The sequence below is a fragment of the Homo sapiens genome, chromosome 7, assembly GCF_000001405.40.
Source record: "Homo sapiens chromosome 7, GRCh38.p14 Primary Assembly".
In the NCBI taxonomy this organism is placed as follows: domain Eukaryota; kingdom Metazoa; phylum Chordata; class Mammalia; order Primates; family Hominidae; genus Homo; species Homo sapiens.
The window spans coordinates 4,924,483-4,944,057 of NC_000007.14; the positions used below are offsets into that span (position 1 = coordinate 4,924,483).

The 19,575-nt window shown below is 50.0% G+C and overlaps 1 protein-coding gene across 4 annotated transcripts in view; it reads right to left on the bottom strand.

Moving 5' to 3' along the window:
• The window catches only part of MMD2 (monocyte to macrophage differentiation associated 2), a 66,943-nt gene that overhangs the window by 32,238 nt on the left and 15,130 nt on the right, over positions 1-19,575 (bottom strand). For all 4 annotated transcript variants that reach the window (NR_072989.2, NM_198403.4, NM_001270375.2 and 1 more), the window contains exon 2: positions 969-1,050. Coding sequence is in view for 3 of the 4 variants with exons in the window: in NM_198403.4 (NP_940685.3) it covers positions 969-1,050 (82 nt within the window). In the remaining variant the exon portion in view is untranslated. The remainder of the gene's footprint in view (positions 1-968; positions 1,051-19,575) is intronic.

The window sequence follows — 19,575 nt, forward strand, 5'->3', positions numbered from 1 at the left end:
CTCATGTCTGCATTGCCAGGGCCTGGAGCACTGCCTGCTGCCTTGAGGGTACCCAGGAACTGTTTGCTGAATGAATGTGTGATGGACAGCTGGCATGGTGATGGGCCGTGAAGGCTACAATGGCTGGGGAGGCAGGCACTGGCTCAGAGCTTCCCAGCATCTGGGCAGAGGGGAAGACTTTGTTGGGGAACATTTCAGCAAGGCTTGGGAATGATGGAAAGGGTTTCATAGGCAGGGCTGGAGTGGAGACAAGAAATATTCCCGGTGACAGGAACAGCCCGTGCAAAGGCATGGAGTCATGTCTTCCATTTAGGAAACAGTGAGGGATTCAAGTGTTTGAGCCTGAGAGCAAGAGCATGGTGGTGGGAGGTGCGTGGACAGACGGGCTAGGAGCTTGCTAGAGTGACAGGATGCCATACTAGGTACTAGGGAGCCATCGAAGGTTCTTTTTTGTTTGTTTGTTTTTGAGACAGGGTCTTGCTCTGTCACCCAGGCTGGAATGCAATGGCATGATCTCGGCTCACTGCAACCTCCGACTCCTGGGTTCAAGAGATTCCCCTGTCTCAGCCTCCAGAGTAGCTGGGGTTACAGGTGCCCGCCACCATGCCCAGCTAATTTTTGTAGTTTTAGTAGAGACGGGGTTTCACCATGTTGGCCAGGCTGGTCTCAAACTCCTGACCTCAGGTGATCTGCCCACCTCAGCCTTCCAAAGTGCTGGAATTATAGGCATGAGCCACCATGCTCGGCCCCATCGAAGGTTCTTAGAGCAAGACAGAGACATGGCCAGCACTGCAGTCCAGTTTACCCCAGTGGCCTTCCCTCGAGACGCCACAGTGGCCTTCCCTGAGGGCCACAGAAGACCCGAGGAACAGGCCACTTAGGACATACGTGAAGGAGGTGACTTCCCCCACCCCCCTTCCCCGGAAGTGTCCCCATCTCAGCCCTGAGCCCCCCAAAAGCCAACTCACAGCATGGGTGGCACAGTTGGCCGCATGTTCATACTCTGTGGGCTGGTACCTCTTGTGGGCAGGGACTCGGTGGTTCATGAACCTGGAAGGAGAGGGAGAATTCCAGGAAGCTCCGCTGGGCAAGAGGTGCCATCCGAATTCCCAGGAAGCCTGAAGACCTTACTTCCTACTGGTAGGAAAAGAAGAGCACTCCCCTTCTCCCTTTTTCATCTCCCCCTCTCTCTCTGTCTTCTTCCTCCCCTCCCTCACTCTTTCCGATCATTAAATGGTTTTGGATTATCCAATATTTTGTGCCTAATCCCCAATGCAGTATTTGTTACAAAATTTTACTAAATGCTAGATAAGGCATTCTCTTCATTTAACTTTTTTATTTTTATTTTTTGAGATGGAGTCTCGCTCTGTCGACAGACTGGAGTGTAGTGGTGTGATCTCAGCTCACTGCAACCTCTGCCTCCCAAGTTCAAGCAATTCTCTTGCCTCAGCCTCCTGAGTAGCTGGGCGTGTGCCACCACGCCAGGCTAATTCTTGTATTTTTAGTAGAGAAGGGGTTTCACCATGTTGGCCAGGCTGGTCTCAAACTCCTGACCTCAGGTGATCCGCCCGCCTCAGCCTTCCCAAGTGCTGGGATTACAGGCGTGAGATACCACGCCGGGCTTTTTTTTTCTTACACGGGGTCTCACTCTGTCTCTCAGGCTGGAGTGCAGTGGTGCAATCATGGCTCACTGCTGCCTCCACCTCCTGGGCTCAAGTGATCCTCCCGCCTCAGCCTCCTGAGATGCTGGGACTACAGGCACAATCTACCATGCCCGGCTAAATTTTTTTGTATTTTTTATAGAGACAGGGTTTAATCACGTTGCCCAGGCTGGTCCCGAACTCCAAGCGATCCTCCCACCTTGGCTTCCCAAAGTGCTGGGATTACAGGCGTGAGCCACCGCTTCCGGCCTCATTTCCTGTTTCTTATTTTCTCTAAGTACAACTTACAGACAATATAGCTCTGCAAGGGGCAGCTTGAAGGATTTTTACAGATGCGTAGACCCACTAAACCACCATCCAGGAAGAGCTACGGCTCACTCCTCACCCCCAAGAAAGTGCCCAGTGCCCCCTCCCATGGGTACCTCTTCCCAGGGAAACCACCCTCTGCCGTTGTCTTCTTGGACTTGTTTCCCCTGTTCTTGAACTTGCTCAATAAACTCCCGCAGAACACGCTGTTTTCTGTCTGGCTTCTTTTGCTTAACGTGATTTTTGCGAGATTCATCCACATTTTGGGGTACAGCAACTGGTAGTTTTCTTTTTTTCTTTTTTCTTTTTTTTTGAGACGGAGTCGTGCTCTGTCGCCCAGGCTGGAGTGCAGTGGTGCGATCTCGGCTCACAGCAAGCTCCGCCTCCTGGGTTCACGCCATTCTCCTGCCTCAGCCTCCTGAGTAGCTGGGACTACAGGCGCCCGCCATCATGCCCAGCTGATTTTTTATATTTTTAGTAGAGACGGGGTTTCACTGTTTTAGCCAGGATGGTCTCGAATTCCTGACCTCGTGATCCGCCTGCCTCGGCCTCCCAAAGTGCTGGATTTACAGGCGTGAGCCACCGCGCCCGGCCAAGCAACTGGTAGTTTTCATGGCTATTGTATTCCACTGGGTGAACAGACCACAAGTGAATTCTCCAACCCACTGCAGGGGGACACTCCTGTTTGGGGATATTATGGAGAACTCGGCCCATGAACTTTTTTGTGCATATTTTTTGGTGAACACGCGCACTTATTTCTGCTGAGCTCAGGTGAAATTGCTACATGACTTTATCTTAAAAATAAACGTTCCTGGCCAGGGGCAGTGGCTCACGCCCGTAATCCCAGCACTTTAAGAGGCCGAGGCAGGCGGATCACTTTAGGCCAGGAGTTCGAGACCAGCCTGGTCAACATGGTGAAACCCCATCTCTACTAAAAATACAAAAATTAGCTGGGAGTGGTGGCATGTGCCTGTAATCCCAGATACTTGGGAGGCTGAGGCAGAAGAATCGCTTGAGGGAGGTGGAGGTTGCAGTGAGCCAAGATCGTACCATTGCACTCCAACCTGGGCGACAGAGTGAGACTCCATTTCAAAAATATATATATATATTAGCCAGGCGTGGTGCCACAGGCCTGTAATCGCAGCTACTTGGGAGGCTGAGGCAGGAGAATCACTTGAACCCGGGAGGCAGAAGTTGCAGTGAGCCGAGATTGTGCCACTGCACTCCAGCCTGGGTGACAGAGAGAGACTCATTCTCAAAAAAACCAAACCAAAACAAAACAAACAAAACAAAAATTCCCGATGTTTTGGTGTCTTTTTAGAATCTTCAAAGCGTTATCACCTCTGTTTAATCCTCACCAGAGCACCACGTGGAGCTATTGGCCATTTTACAGATGGAGAAGCTACAGGGCAGGGAGGTGAGGGAAAGAAATCACCTGGTGGGAAGGGACTCAACCCAGCCCTGGTTGACTCCGACGTCTGGTTCTGCCTTGACGCAAGTCTGTGCTCGGGGACTTAGTCAGTCTGGGAAGACAGACAAGGGTTGGCTGGGCAGGGAAGAGGCATCCAAGAACTGGGTCTAAGGTCTGCACACACCTGGCTGTCGGACCAGCAGCCGGGACCACAGCAGCGTGCATGTCTTCGGCCCACACAGGCTCGGAATCAGCTCACCTGGACGTTGCCAAGCAGCAGCCACCCAATGGGGTTAAACTCCACTAAACACACCAAAAACTTTCCCCTCAGGTCCGATGGTTACTTTGTAGACTGCCCCCCAAACAAATGAGTGTATGGTTCAGGACAAATGACTCCATGCAGTATATATGGGTCACTAAGCATTTATTGGGCACTTTCTGTATGCTGGCGTCATATCAGGAGTGCATGGAGCATTTATTCAGCATCTCCGGTGTGCTGGCTCCACGCTCATCAAGACCCTGGAACATTCGCTGAGCACCTTCTGTGTGCTGGCTCCATGCTAAGTACAGTTCATGAAGCATTTGTTAAGCACCTCCTGTATGCTGGATCCAGGTCAAGTACAGTTACAGAGCCTTCATTGAGCACCTTCCGTATGCTGGCCTCATGCTAAGTACAGCTCATGGAGCACTTATTAGGCAGGTTCTGTGTGCTGACTCCATGCTAAGTATAGTTCATGAAGCATTCATTGAGCACCTTCTGTGTGCTGGCTCCATGGTAAGTGCAGCTCATGGAGCATTTATTAAGCACCTTCTGTGTGCTGGCTCCATGAAAAGTGCAGCTCATGGAGCATTTATTAAGCACCCTCTGTGTGCTGGCTCCCCTTCTGTATGCTGGCTCCATGCTAAGTACAGTTCATGGAGCATTTATTAAGTACCTTTGATGTGTTGGCTCCGTGCTAAGTATAGTTCATGAAGCATTTATTAAGCACCTTTTGTGTGCTGGATCCATGCTAAGTGCAGCTCATGGTGCATTTATTAAGCACCTTCTGTGTGCTGGCTCCACGCTAGTACAGACCTGGGGCATTGATTGAGCACCTTCTGTGTGCTAGCTGTATGCTAGCATAGTTCAGGGCTCATTTATGGAGCATATTGTGTATGCTGGCTTTACATATGCTGGTATGGGCAGGGCAGGAGTGAAAGCTGGGCAGGGGGGTCTGCCAGGCACTGACACTGTGATTTGCCCTGGGACACTTGGCGCCTGGGTGAGTCCAGGGGTCTCCAGGTTCGGGTGACTGCTCTCTGCCTGCATCCAGCTGGGACTCCATGGTCACGTGATTCCAGTCAGTCAAGTGACTTCAACACCAGGGTCACACCGAGCCCATTCGACAGATGAGAAAACTAAGACCCCTGGGGCCAGGCTTCTGCAGCAAGCCAGAGAGACACCAACCCCCATCTCCCACGGCCGCAGCAGCCTCGCAGGGGCAGACTGAAAACTGGAATTACAGTCACAGAGAACATGGAGGACCCACCCTGGGGACCCCATTGAAGCCCCCCCCAGGAGCCCAGAACACGCCGCCCATCCACCCACCTTCCTCAAGGTGGGCCAGGAAGCTGCCTGTGGCCAAGACTGGCTTATGTTTGTTTGTTTGTTTGTTTTTTGAGATGGAGTCTCTTTTTTTTTTGAGACGGAGTCTTGCTCTGTCGCCCAGGCTGGAGTGCAATGGCGCTGTCTTGGCTCACTGCAACCTCTGCCTCCCGGGTTCAAGTGATTATCCTGCCTCAGCCTCCCTAGCAGTTGGAACTACAGGCGCCCGCCACCACACTCGGCTAATTTTTGTATTTTTGGTAGAGACAGGTTTTCACTATGTTGGCCAGGTTGGTCTCAATCTCCTCACCTCATGATCTGCCTGCCTCAGCCTCCCAAAGTGCTAGGACTACAGGCGTGAGCCACTGTGCCCAGCCAAGACTGGCTTATTAACTAATAAGTAATAACAACGAAAATAGTGATATGGGTTGAACCGTGTCCTCCCAGCATTCACACATCGAAGCCCTAACTCCTGGTATTCAGAAGGGGACCTCATTTGGGAACAGGATTGGAGCAGATTTCATTAGTTAAGATGAGGCCAGGGCCGGGTATGGTGGCTCACACCTGTAATCCCAGCACTTTGGGAGGCCGAGGCGGGCATATTACAAGGTCAGGAGATCTAGACCATCCTGGCTAACACAGTGAAACCCCATCTCTACTAAAAATACAAAAAAAATAGCTGAGTGTGGTGGCGGGCACCTGTAGTCCCAGCTACTTGGAGGCTGAGGCAGGAGAATGGCATGAACCCAGGAGGTGGAGGTTGCAGTGAGCCAAGATCACGCCGCCACTGCACTCCAGCCTGGGAGACAGAACAAGACTCCATCTCAAAAAAAAAAAAAAAAAAAAGAGCCCAGACTGCAGTAGGGTGGGCCCCCATCCAATATGAGTAGGGTTCCCTAAAAAGACAAAACAGGCCGGGCATGGTGGCTCACACCTGTAATCCCAGCACTTTGGGAAGCGGAGGTGGGTGGATCATCTGAGGTCAGGAGTTTAAGACCAGCCTGGCTAACACGGCAATACCCCATCTCTACTAAAAAAAAATACAAAAATTAGCCAGGCGTAGTGGTGGGCGACTGTAATCCCAGCTACTCGGGAGGCTGAGGCAGGAGAATCGCTTGAACCTGGGAGGCGGAGGTTGTGCTGAGCCAAGATCGTGCCACTGCACTCTAGCCTGGGCAACAAGAGCGAGACTCTGTCTCCAAAAAAAAAAGAGGAAAGAGACAGAGAGGACAACATCAAATGAAGACAGAGACACACGGGGACGACAGCCATGTGACGGTGGAGGCAGAGATTGTGGCAATGCGAAGAAATATCTGCTTTTGTAAGCCGCTGCTGTGTCGTCACCTGTGATTCCAGCCCTCGGACAAAAACACAGGTGCATGTCGTGCTTGTTTTTTTCTTTATTTTTATTTCTTTTTAATTTGAGACCGAGTCTTGCTCTATCACCCAGGCTGGAGTGCAGTGGCGCGATCTCGGCTGACTGCAACCTTCGCCTCCTGGGTTCAAGTGACTCGCCTGCCTCAGACTCCTGAGTAACTGGAATTACAGGCGCCCGCCACCAGGCCTGGCTATTTTTTGTATTTTTAGTAGAGATGGGGTTTCACCATGTTGGCCAGGCTAGTCTCGAACTCCTGACCTCAGGTGATCCACTTGTCTCTGGCTCCTAAAGTGCCGGGGTTACAGGCGTGAGCCACTGTGCCCGGCCTTTGTTGTTGGTTTTTGTTTTTGTTTTTTTGAGAAAGGGTCTTGCTCTGTGGCCCCACTATCATAGCTCACTGCAGCCTCGACCTCCTGGGCTCGAGCAATCCTCCCACCTCAGCCTCCCGAGTAGCTGGGACTACAGGTGCACACCACCACACCCGGCTAATTTATTTTTATTTTTATTTTTGTAGAAGTGAGGTCTCACTATGTTGTCCAGGCTGGTCTCAAACTCCTGACCTCAGTTAATCCTCCCACCTCAGCCTCCCAAAGTGTTGGGATTACAGGCATGAGCCACTGCGCCTGGCCTCTTTACCTTTTTCTTTTGAAACAGGGTCTCACTCTGTCACCCAGGCTGGAGTGCAGTGGTGTGATCACAGCTCACTGCAAGCTTGAACTCCTGGGCTCCACGGATCCTCCCTCTTCAGGTGCACTCCACCATGCCCAGCTAATACTTTTTAATTTTTGTAGAGATAGAGTCTCACTGTGTTGCTCAGGCTGGTCTCAAACTCCTGGGCTCAAGCAATCCTCCTGCCTCAGCCTCCTGAGTAGCTAAGATTACAGGTACATGCCACCACACCCAGCTAATTTTTTAATTTTTTGTAGAGACTGGGTCTTGCTCTGTTGCCCAGGCTGGTCTCAAACTCCTGACCTCAAACAATCGTCCTCCCTTGGCCTCCCAAAGTGCTGAGATTACAGGAATGAGCCACCGTGCCCGGCCTCACAGTATTCATTTAGAGAGACTCTGCCCAAAAGCCCTCCAGGAGGCCGGGCCAATTTACGCTTCCCACCAACTGGGCAGGGAGTCCGGAGACCAACTATGAGGGTGTGGTTTGCACTGGTCTCCAAGGTGGGAAACCTATTCTCCCCGAGGTCTCTCCCTCTACCTGCCACCAGGTGCAGGCCTGCAGCCCTGGCTTCCCCTGCTCCTGTAACAAACACCAGGAAACCACCAAGGGTGCCAGCCACATGGGTCCCAGGGTGATGTCACGGTTGCCGTGGCGACCTGGGGCGGGCAGTTATTTATTTATTTCTGAGTTCCACAAGACTCTCCTTGTCTCTCAGTCACTGTGGCCATTGAATGCTGGCGGAGAGGGGAGAGGGAGGCCCGGAGACAGGGCCGTGGGCAAACGACCAAGAAACAGTGTTCCCACCACCCTGAAGACCCGAGCACTTTCCCTTTAACTCCTTGCGACCTCATTTCTTTCCTCCCTAAACCTCTAGTCAGGCATTTTAAGAAAAAGTGAATTCATATTTTAATTTGCTTTATAATTTACATAAAGCAAAATTTCCTCTTTTTTTGCTATAGTTTTGTGAGTTTTGACAAATACGGAGAGTCCTGTAACTGCCACCGCCACCATCAAGGTGAATAACAGATTCACCATCCCCCAGAATTCTCTCCTGCCCCCTCTTTGCACCTGAAGCCTCTGCCCAGTGCCAGCCGGGCAGCTAAGGCCCTGTCCCCTGTCCTCTGTGGTGCATTTTTTTTTTTTTTTTGAGAAGGAGTTTTGCTCTGTCGCCCAGACTGAAGTGCAGTGGCATGATCTCAGCTCACTGCAGCTTCCACCTCTTGGGTTCAAGTGATTCTCCTGCCTCAGCCTCCTGAGTATCTGGGATTACAGGCATGTGCCACCACCCCTGTCTAATTTTTGTATTTTTAGTAGAAACAGGGGGTCTCATCATGTTGGCCAGGCTGGTCTTGAACTCCTGACCTCAGGTGATCCACCTGCCTTGGCCTCCCAAAGCACTGGGATTACAGGCGTGAGCCACCAGGCCTGGTCTCCGTGCTTTGCCTTTTCCAAAATGTCACCTATGTGGAGTCATACAGTTTTACAGCCTTTTTTTTTTTTTATGTTTAAAGAGAATCTGTTGTATAAAGTTGAAAGTGAAAAGAAACTGTACTCTGAATGCCAAAAAGGGATTTACTTGTTTTCTCTTAAAATGTATTGTGATCAGGCACGGCAGCTCACGCCTGTAATCCCAGCGCTTTGGGAGGCCGAGGCGAGAGGATCGCTTGAGACCAGCTTTGGCAACATAGCAAGACCCGGTCTCTACAAAATATTAAAAAATTACCTGGGTGTGGTGGCATGTGCCTGTCGTCCCAGCTGCTTGGGAGGCCGAGGCAAGAGGATCACTTGAGCCCAGGAGGTCAAGGCTACAGTGAGCCAAGATCGTGCCACTGCACTCCAGCCTGCATGGGAGAGCATGATTGTCTCAAAATAAAACAAAATGTATTGAAGGTAAATTTGTTTTATACTAAAAGAAAATGGCCCCTCCTAAATGTAACGTTATCTTTCCTGGTAATTATTCTCGACTCTTCCATCCCTGTCTTTGCTCCTGCATCCCCTTTGCCATCTGGCTTTGTTGTTGGGCAGGGAGCATCTGAGATTCCTCCTCCCTGGTGTTGCACGTCCCTTCCTTTTTATTGCTGAGCAGTATTGCTTTGCATGGACATACCAGAGTTTGTTCATTCATTCTCCAGTTGAGGGATAATAAATGCATTTTTTTTTTTTTAGATAGGGTCTATCACCCTGGCTGGAGTGCAGTGGTGTCATCATAGCTCACTGCAGCCTCGCATTCCGAGGCCCAATCATTCCTCCTGCCTCAGCCTCCCAAGTAGCTGAGACCACAGGTACACACCACCATGCCTGGTTAATTTTTAAATTTTTTGTAGAGACAGGCTCTTGATATGTTGCCCAGGCTGGTCTCAAACTCCTGGACTCAAGTGATCCTCTGGCCTCAGCCTCCCAAAGTATTGGGATTACAGGCATGAGACACTGTGCCCGGCCACAATGCCTTTTTTTTTTTTTTTTTTTGAGACAGTCTCCTAGGCTGGAGTGCAATGGTGCAATCTCAACTCACTGTAACCTCTCCCTCCCATGTTCAAGCAATTCTCCTGCCTCAGCCTCCCAAGTAGCTGGGATTACAGGCATCCGCCACCACACCCAGCTAATTTTTGAATTTTGACTACAGATGAGGTTTTGCCATGTTGGCCAGGCTGGTCTCAAACTCCTGACCTCAAGTGATCTGCCCACCTCGGCCTCCCAAAGTGCTGGGATTACAGGCGTGAGCCACTATGCCCGGCCCACAATGCTTTTATTTTTTCCACCACCACACCCAACTAATTTTTTTGGATTTTTAGCGGAGACAGGGTTTTGCCATGTTGCCCAGGCTGGTCTCAAACTGCTGGTCTCAAGCAATCCTCCCGCCTCTGACTCCCAGAGTGCTGGGTTACAGGTGTGAGCCACTGGGCCTGGCAGGGATGCATGTTTAACAAGTGAAATGCGTAGATAAAATTGAGACTGTGTTAGAACAGAGGTGGCAGTCAGAGAGGCAGCCTCGACGGTGGGAAACTTCTCTCGAAAGAGCCGACGTTTCCAGCAGGCTGTGGCTGGTTAAACTAAAGGAGGGAAGTGGCCTTTTCTTCCTCCTCCCTGGAGAACAGACTCCTCATTTTGTAGCCAACCCTTACTGCTTACATGAGCACATGGCCATGGCTTGGTGGAGGACTCCCAAACTGAGCCAGGACCCAGAGCCAGATGCTGGCAGGAGACGAGGAGAGAATGTTGAATTCTCACCCTGAACTTGAGGAGGTACAGGCTTTGGAGCTTGGCACTGTTGGGCAGAAAATGCCTGCATGGGCAGTTGACCGCTGTGTGAGCTAGGGAAAATTGCTTAACGTCTCTGGGCTGCAGCTTCCAAGTATGTAAACGGGAATAATATTACCTAGCCAGCAGGTGTCATAAAGAATACGGTTTAAGGCCGAGCGGGGTGGCTCACGCCTGTGATCCCAGCACTTTGAAAGGCTGAGGTGGGCGGATAACCTGAGATCAGGAGTTCAAAGCCAGCCTGGCCCACATGGTGAAACCCCATCTCTACTAAAAATACAAAAATTAGCCAGGCATGGTGGCGCACACCTGTAATTCCAGCTCCTCAGGAGGCTGAGGCAGGAGAATCTCTTGAACCCGGGAGGCAGAGGTTGCACGGAGCCGAGATCGCGCTACCACACTCCAGCCTGGGAGACAGAGCGAGACTCTGCCTCAAAAAAAGAAAAAAAAAACTAGCTATACATGGTGGGGCACGACTGTAGTCCCAGCTACTTCAGAGGGTGAGGCGAGAGGATCATATGAGCCAGGAGGTCGACGCTGCAGTGAGCTATGATCGTGCCACTGCACTCCAGCCTGGGCCACAGAGTGAGACCCTGTCTCAAAAAATAATAAAATACTGACGACTGGGCTCCACACCCAGAGATTTCAGTTTATTCGGTCTGGGGTAAAGCCTGGATATTGGCATGCTTAGAAGTTTCTTTATTATTATTATTTTTTTAGCATTTAAAAAATGGGCAGAGACAGTGAGACCTTATTTCCACAAAAAAATAAAAAAATTAGCCAGACGTGGTGGCATGCATCTATACTCCCAACTACTCAGGAGGCTGAGGTGGGAGGATCACTGGAGCCCAGGGAGGTTGAGGCTGCAGTGAGCCATGATTGAGCCACTGCACTCCAGCCTGAATAACAGAGCAAGACCCTGTCTCAAAAAAAAAAAAAAAAAAAACCAAAAAAATTGTATACGTTGATGGTGCTAGACCATGATGCTTGGCATTGTGGAGTGGTTCCAATGTCAGTTTCTTGCTTTGGACCCTGTACTTGAATTATGTAAGATGTTCCACTAGGGAAATTGGAGAAAGGATTCTCAAGATCTTTCTACCATTCTTGCAACTACCTGTGCATTTATAATTATTTCAAAATAAAAAATTTTGGGCCGGGCGCGATGGCTCATGCCTGCAATCCCAGCACTTTGGGAGGCCGAGGCAAGCAGATCACCTGAGGTCAGGAGTTCGAGACCAGCCTGTCCAACATGGTGAAACCCCATCTCTACTAAAAATACAAAAACTAGGCAGGCGTGGTGGTGGGCACCTGTAATCTCAGCTACTCGGGAGGCTGAGGCAGGAAAATCACTTGAACCCGGGAGGCAGAGGTTCCTATGAGCTGAGATCGTGCCACTGCACTCCAGTCTGGGTGACGAGAATGAAACTCTGTCTCAAAAAAAAAAAAAAAGGAAAAAAAAATGTAAAGTGTAACCACATACAATGCAAAGATGTTCATCAAAATCAAATGAAAAAAATCAAGTAATAAAATTATATACACAACATGATTTCATTAGTGTAAAACACACACACACCCCAACATTTTAGAAACATAAATGCATAGAAATAGACTTGAAAGAAAACAGGGAGATTGGTGAGTTTGGGGGTGCTGGTCACAGAAGACTTTGCCCCCCTCCCTTATTTTTTTAATTTTTAGGATTGGGTGGGAGATAAAGAGTCTTTCATTTGATTTGTGTTGTTTGAATCTTTATAAGATTGTATTCAAATTTTACTCATGTAACTACAATAAAAGTGTTATTTTTATTTCATTACTAATTTATTTTGTAGAGATGGGGTTTCACTGTGTTGCTCAGGCTGGTTTTGAACTCATGGGCTAAAGCAATCCTCCTGCCTCAGCCTCCCAAAGAGCTGGAATTGCAGGCATGAGCCATCACAACCAGCCTAAAAAATGCTAAAATTATACAGGAAATGTTTGCCACAGAATATTTTATTTTATTTTTTTGAGACAAAGTTTCAGTCTGTTACCCAGGCTGGAGTGCAATGGCGCGATCTCAGCTCAGTGCAACTTCCGCCTCCCGGGTTCAAGCAATTCTCTTCCCTCAGCCTCCCAAGTAGCTGGGATGACAGGTGTTTGCCACTACACCTGGCTAATTTTTTTTATTTTTAGTAGAGACGGGGTTTCACCATGTTGGTCAGGATGGTCTCAAACTCCTGACCTCAAGTGATCCACCTGCCTCGGCCTCCCAAAGTGTTGGAATTACAGGCGTGAGCCACCATGCCCAGCCCACACAGTCTTTAAAGGGTATCTTAGTCCATCTTCTGCTGGAATACCTGAGACTGGGTAATTTATAAAGAAATTATTGTGGGCCGGGCATGGTGGCTCATGCCTGCAATCCAGCACTTTGGGAGGCTGAGGCGGGTGGATCACCTGAGGTCAGGGGTTCGAGACCAGCTTGGCCAACATGGCGAAACCCCATCTCTACTAAAAATACAAAAATTAGCCAGGCACAGTGGCGCGCACCTGTAATCCCAGCTACTTGAGAGGCTGAGGCAGGAGAATCACTTGAATCCGGGAGGTGGAGGTTGCAGTGAGCCGGGATTGCACTACTGTGCTCCAGCCTGGGCAACAGAGAGAGACTCTGTCACAAAAAGAAAAAAAGAAAGAAAAAGAAAGAAAGAGAAAGAAAGAAAGGAAGAAAGGAAGGAAGGAAGAAAGAAAGGGAAATTATTATAAATTATAAATTATTTTTTGCTGTTTTGTTTTTTAGAGAAAATAATGACAGGTTCTCGCCCTGTCATTCACGCTGAAACGCACTGGCACAATCATAGTTTGTTGCAGCCTCCAACTCCTGGATTCAAGCGATGTTCCTGCTTCAGCCTGCCAAGTAACTGGGACTGCAGGCATGCACCACCATACCCAGCTAATTTTTAATTTTTTGTAGAGACAGAATCTCGCCATGTTGCCCAGGCTGGTCTCAAACTCCAGGGCTCAAGTGATCCCACCCTGCCTCAGCCTCTCGAGTAGCTAGGACTACAGGTGTGCGTCACTACATCCAGCTAATTTTTAAACATTTTTTTGTAGAGATGGGGTCTCACTATTGTTGCCCAGGCTGGTCTCAAACTCCTGGCCTCAAGCAGTCCTCCTCCTTTGGCCTCCCAAAGCACTGAGATTACAGGCATGAGCCACATCACCTGGTCCTAAGAAAACAATTTAATTTCTTTTTCTTTTTTTTTTCTTTTTTTCTTTCTTTCTTTTTTTTTTTTTTTTTTTTTTTTTTGAGATGGAGTTTTGCTCTTGTTGCCCAGGCTGGAGTGCAATGGCACGATCTCAGCTCACTGCAACCTCCACCTCCCGGTTCAAGAGATTCTCCTGCCTCAGCCTCCCCCATAGCTGGGATTACAGGTGCCCACCACTATGCCAGGCTAATTTTTGTATTTTTAGTAGAGACGGGGTTTTGCCATGTTAGTCAGGCTGGTCTCAAACTCCTGACCTCGTGATCCGCCCACCTCAGCCTCCCAAAGTGCTGGGATTACAGGCATGAGCCACCACGCCCGGCCCAACAATTTAATTTCTTACAGCTCTTTAGGCTGGGAAGTCCAGGATCTAGGGACTGTGTCTGGTGGGGGCCTTCTTGCTGCTGAGGATGCTGTAGAATCCCGAGGCAGTGTGGGGCATCCCGTGGTGAGGGGCCTGTATGTGCTAACTCGAGTCTCTTTTTCTCCTCTCTAAAGCCACTAATGCCTCACCCTCAAGACCGCAGCTAATCCTAATCACCTCCCAAAGGTCCCACCCCTCCAATACCACAGTCAAATTTCCCACCCTCTTAATACTGTTACAACGGGGATCAAGTTTCAGAATAAGTTTTCGAAGAGACAAACATTCGAAACACAGCAAGGGGCAAGGCCAGGTTGTCGACTTGGAAAGGCAGAAGGTATGAAAGAAAGCAAAGCCAACCTTTGGCTGTAGCAGAGGAGAGACTGGGGGAGACAGGCATGAGAAATGTTATTTTATTTATATTTGTGTGTTACTTGACCAGCTACAATGTTCATGTACTACCTCAATGATCTTTTTAAAATCCTATCAAATAAAAAACATTTTAAATAAAGTCAAGTTTTGAAATCAACACTCAAGGCCAGATGACATCAAACAAGCTGCATCAAAGTTGGGGAGGGGAGGCTGGGCTCGATGGCTCACGTCTGTAATCCCAGCACTTTGGGAGGTTGGGGCGGGTGGATTACCTGAGGTCGGGAGTTGGAGACCAGCCTGGCCAACATGGTGAAACCCCATCTCTACTAAAAATACAAAACAATTAGCTGAGCATGGTGGTGTAATCCCAGCCACTCGGGAGACTGAGGCAGGAGAATCACTTGAACTAGAGAGATGGAGGTTGCAGTCAGCTGAGATCGTGCCACTGCACTCCAGCCTGGGTGACAGGGCGAGACTCCGTCTCAAAAAAAAACCCAAAAAAAACAAAGTTGAGGAGGGGAGGTGCTAGGTAAAAGGAATCCTGGAGGCTGGGCCCGGTGGCTCGTGCCTGTAATCCCAGCACTAGGAAGGCAGGAGGACTGCTTGAGGCCAGGAGTTCAAGACACGCCTGGGCAACATAGCAAGACCCTTTCTCTACAAAAAAAAAACTTAAAAATTAGCCAGGTGTGGTGGTGTGTACCTGTGGGCTCAGCTGCCCAGGAGGCTGAGGTGGGAGAATAGCTTGAACCCAGGAATTTGAGGCAACAGTGAGCTATGATCATGTCACTGCACTCCAGCCTGGGCGACAGAGAGAGACCTAGTCTCAGAAAACAAAAAAAGTCTTGGAAACTACCCAAATGCCCACCATGGTAGAATTAGCATAGAAATATTCACACAATGGAACACTAGATAGTAATGAGAATTAATGAATTACAGCTTTCAGAAGAAATAAGGACACTCTGCAGACTGCAGACAAATGTCAAATGGCGGTGCACACACTTCCAATCTATTTCTTTCTTTCTTTCTTTTTTTTTTTTTTTTGAGATGGAGTCCTGCGCTGTTGCCCAGGCTGGAGTGCAGTGGCACAATCTCGGCTCACTGCAACCTCTGCCTTCCAGGTTCAAGCAATCTCCTGCCTCAGCCTCCTGAGTAGGTGGGACTACAGGTGTACAGAACCACACTGGCTAATTTTTTTTGTATTTTTACTAGAGACGGGGTTTTGCCATGTTGGCCAGGCTGGTCTCGAACTCCTGACCTCAAGCAATCCATCTGCCTTGGCCTCCCAAAGCGCTGGCATTACAGGCGTGAGCCACCGCACCTGGCCCAATCTATTTCTATAAATTTCAAGAACAGGCAGCGCAGGTCTGTTGAAGGTCCGATGACGCCAGGAGAGTGGCTGCCCTTGACGGTAGTGAGGACTGACTAATGGGGTGTGAAGGGGTTCCTGAGGCCTGGCATGTTGAGCATCCTGACCTGGGTGCAGGGTCCGGCACACCCCAGCTCCCCCGGCTCGCTCCTCCGAAGTCTGGCAGGAGCCAGGCCCAGTCTCAGAGCTCAGCTTCTGCAATTCCTCCCTCTCTCTCTCTGGCCTGACCCAGCTGGGGTCTATGGCCCCCAGAAAGAAGCCTGACCCCTTTCATGAATGAGCCCGGGCCCCGGAACGCGGCTGCAGCCACCCCTCCCAGGCTGGGCTGGTGCCTGTCAGTGGCGACCCTGAGTCCCTTGGACAGAGGACTAGAGAGATTTGCCCGGGCTCCTACACAAAGGGGGTTCTGTCCGTCTGTCCCACAGAGGCAAGGGACCACGCAGGGCCAAGTTGGCCCCGGCCGTGCTAAGCCTCTCTCCCCCTCTCCGCTTGGCCCTGGCCGCTTCTTTGTGTCCATTCATGAATTCAAGGCTCCTCCTGAAAGGCCGGCGGTATCTTGGCTCAGTCTTTGGGAAACAGTCCTTGGGCCGGTGCCACCTGGGAATGGTCATGAAATAAAATCCTGGGGCAGACAGTGATGGGAACAGGAAGGGGAAACTGAGCAAGGGGTGGAAGGGGCCCGGGCTTGCATCTCGTGCCAGAGGCGCGGGACTCTGGCATGATCTGCAGGAGACAGCACTCAGGTGCACTGTGCGTGGCATCCCATGTGAACGGCCCCCTGGGCCTGGGGGTACTGACCCGACAGATCTGAGACCAGCTCCCAGCCTTGGCGCCCACCCTGTGGCTCCCCGGGAAATCTCTTCCCCTATGGGATGAGAAGGGTCCGTATCTCCAAAGCTAGGACCATCTCCCAGCCTCAGGAGGCTCCCAGATGCTATCAAGTGAGAAGGGGCCATGGTCATCGCTGGCTGCTGTGAGTGGGGTTAGGAGGAGGGGTCGCCCCAACAAAGATGGGGGCCCCTTAGGCACCTGTTCGTCCTCAGCTAGCTCCTGGGTCGGCCTCTGTGAACATGCCACAGACACCAGCCCTAACCATCAAGCCCTCCTTCCACCTGACCTAGGGGCTCTCACCCACCAATCATCTCCCAGAGATTCCTGTGACATCACCAGCAGCCAATCAGAGTGTCCCAGGTTGGCAGGTCAGAGGCAGCCTTACTTTGAGAGTTGGTAAGTTTTCAGGCAATAGCAGAAAAAGGACACTTCTGACCGGGCGCGGTGGCTCGCGCCTGTAATCCCAGCACTTTGGGAGGCCGAGGCAGGTGGATCACTTGGGGCCAGGAATTCAAGACCAGCCTGGCCAACATGGCGAAACCCTGTCTCTACTAAAAATACAAAAATAAGCCGGGCGTGGTGGCGGGTGCCTGTAATCCCAGCTACTCAGGAGGCTGAGGCAAGAGAATCGCTTGAACCTGGGAGGCGGAGGTTACAGTGAGCCGAGATGGCACCACTGCACTCCAGCCTGGACGACAGAGTGAGAACCTGTCTCAAAAAAAAAAAAAAAAGACACTTTTTTTAAACAGTGGAATACTGCATTTTATTATTATTTTTCTTTATACTTTTTTAAACTGCTGTTTTAGGTTCAGGGGTACATGTGCAGGTTTGTTATGTAGGTAAATTGCATGTCACGGGGGTCTGGTGTCCCTGACTCAAATAAAGAAATTAATAAATATCTTCTTAATAGCACCAGGAAGGTTGCACCACAAATGTATCTTTAAAGAGTCCTTGAGGTGACAAAATAATCTGCATGCCAAAGGACACTTTAAAGATACATTTGTGGTGCAACTTTCCTGGTGCTGGTGGGAGGTCATTTATTTATTTATATATTTTTGAGATGAAGTCTCGCCCTGTTGCCCAAGCTGAAGTGCTGTGGCATGATCTCAGCTCACTGCAGCCTCCACCTCCTGGGTTCAAGTGATCCTCCTGCCTCAGCCTCCCGAGTACCTGGGACTACAGGCACGTGCCACCATGCCCAGCTAATTTTTGTATTTTTAGTAGAGACAGTGTTTTGCCATGTTGGCCAGGCTGATCTTGAACTCCTGACCTCAGATGATCCACTGCCTTGACCTCCCAAAGTGCTGGGATTACAGGCATGAGCCACCATGCCTGGTCTTATTTTTTATTTTTATTTTTTCTGTAGAGATGGGGGGGGTCTTGCCATGTTGCCCAGGCTGTTCTCGAATACCTGGCCTCATGTGATTCTCCCGCCTTGGCCTCCCAAAGTGCTGGGATTACAGGTGTGAGCCACCTGGCCCTGCCTGGGAGGACATTTCTATTTTTTTTTTAATTAAAAAATTTTTTTAATTAATTAGAAATGGAGCCTCACTATGTTGCCCAGGCTGGTCTTGAACTCCTGGCCTCAAGCTATCCTCCTGCCTCAGCCTCTCAAAGTGCTGGGATTACAGGCATGAGCCATACACCCGGCCCTAGGAGGACATTTCTAATTCCCATTACACTTTCCATCCTGTCTATACCTCTTTTTTTTTTTTGAGACAGAGTTTTGCTCTTGTTGCCCAGGCTGGAGTGCGATGGTGCTATCTCGGCTCATTGCAACCTCTGCCTCGCGGGTTCAAGCGATTCTCCTGCCTCCGCCTCCCAAGTAGCTGGGACTACAGACACGTGCCACCACCTCACCCGGCTTTTTTGTTTGTTTTTTAGTAGAGACAGGGTTTCACCATGTTAGTCAGGCTGGTCTTGAACTTCTGACCTCAAGTGATCCACCCACCTCAGCCTCCCGAAGTGCTGGGATTACAGGATGAGCCACCGCGCCAGGCCCCATCCTGTCTATACTTCTGTCCTAACTCCATCCCAGCCAGTGACCCCTTAGATAGTTGGAGTACACTTCAGGAGGTCCTGCCCTTTTCTTTTTTTTTTTTTTTTTTTTTTTGAGACAGAGTCTCTCACTGTCACCCAGGCTGGAGTGCAGTGGCGCAATGTCAGCTCATTGCAACCTCCACCTCCTGGGTTCAAGCGATTCTCCTGCCTCAGTCTCCTGCGTAGCTGAGATTACAGGCGCCTGCCACCACGCCCCGCTAATTTTTTGTATTTTTAGTAGAGATGGAGTTTCACCATGTTGGCCAGGCTGGTCTCAAACTCCTGACCTTGTGATCCGCCTGCCTCAGCCTCCCAAAGTACTGGGATTACAGGCATGAGCCACCGCGCCTGGCCTTTTTTCTGTATTTTTAGTAAACACGGGCTTTCACCATGTTGACGAGGATGATCTCGATCTCCCGACCTCGTGATCCACCTGCCTCAGCCTCCCAAAGTGCTGAGATTACAGGCGTGCGCCACCGTGCCCAGTCAGTCCTGCCCTTTTCAACTCACACCCTACCCATTTCACAGAAGAGAAGACTGAGACCCAACTGCTCTACCCTGATGTCCCCTAGCAGTGCCCATTACCTAGCTTGTGTCAAAGGGCAGGGGGAGGGTTTAGGCTGAGCACTCACACTGTGGCCACAGAAAACCTCTAGATATGGAGACCAGTAGCCAGCATGTTAGCCCTGCAGTCCAGCCCTGGCTGTGCAACCCAGGAAATGGTACTTAACCTCCCTGAGCTTGTAGCCCTTCTGGAAAATTCCTATCCTAGACACTTCACAAACTGCCTTGAGAGCCGAAGAGGAGGGCAGCTTGAAGACAAATCACTGTTGTTGACTGATTATTTTATTTTACTTTATTTTTTGAGACAGGATCTTGCTCTGTCACTCAGGCTAGAGTGCAGTGGCATGATCACAGCTCACTGCAGCCTCAAACTCCTGGGCTCAAGTGATCCTCCCACCTCAACCTCCTGAGTAGCTGGGACTATAGGTGCACGCCACCACCCCCAACTAATTTTCTCTTTATTTTTTGTAGAGATGAGGTCTCACTATGTTGCTCACTATGAACTCTTTAGCTCAAGCAATCTTCCCACCTCAGCCTCC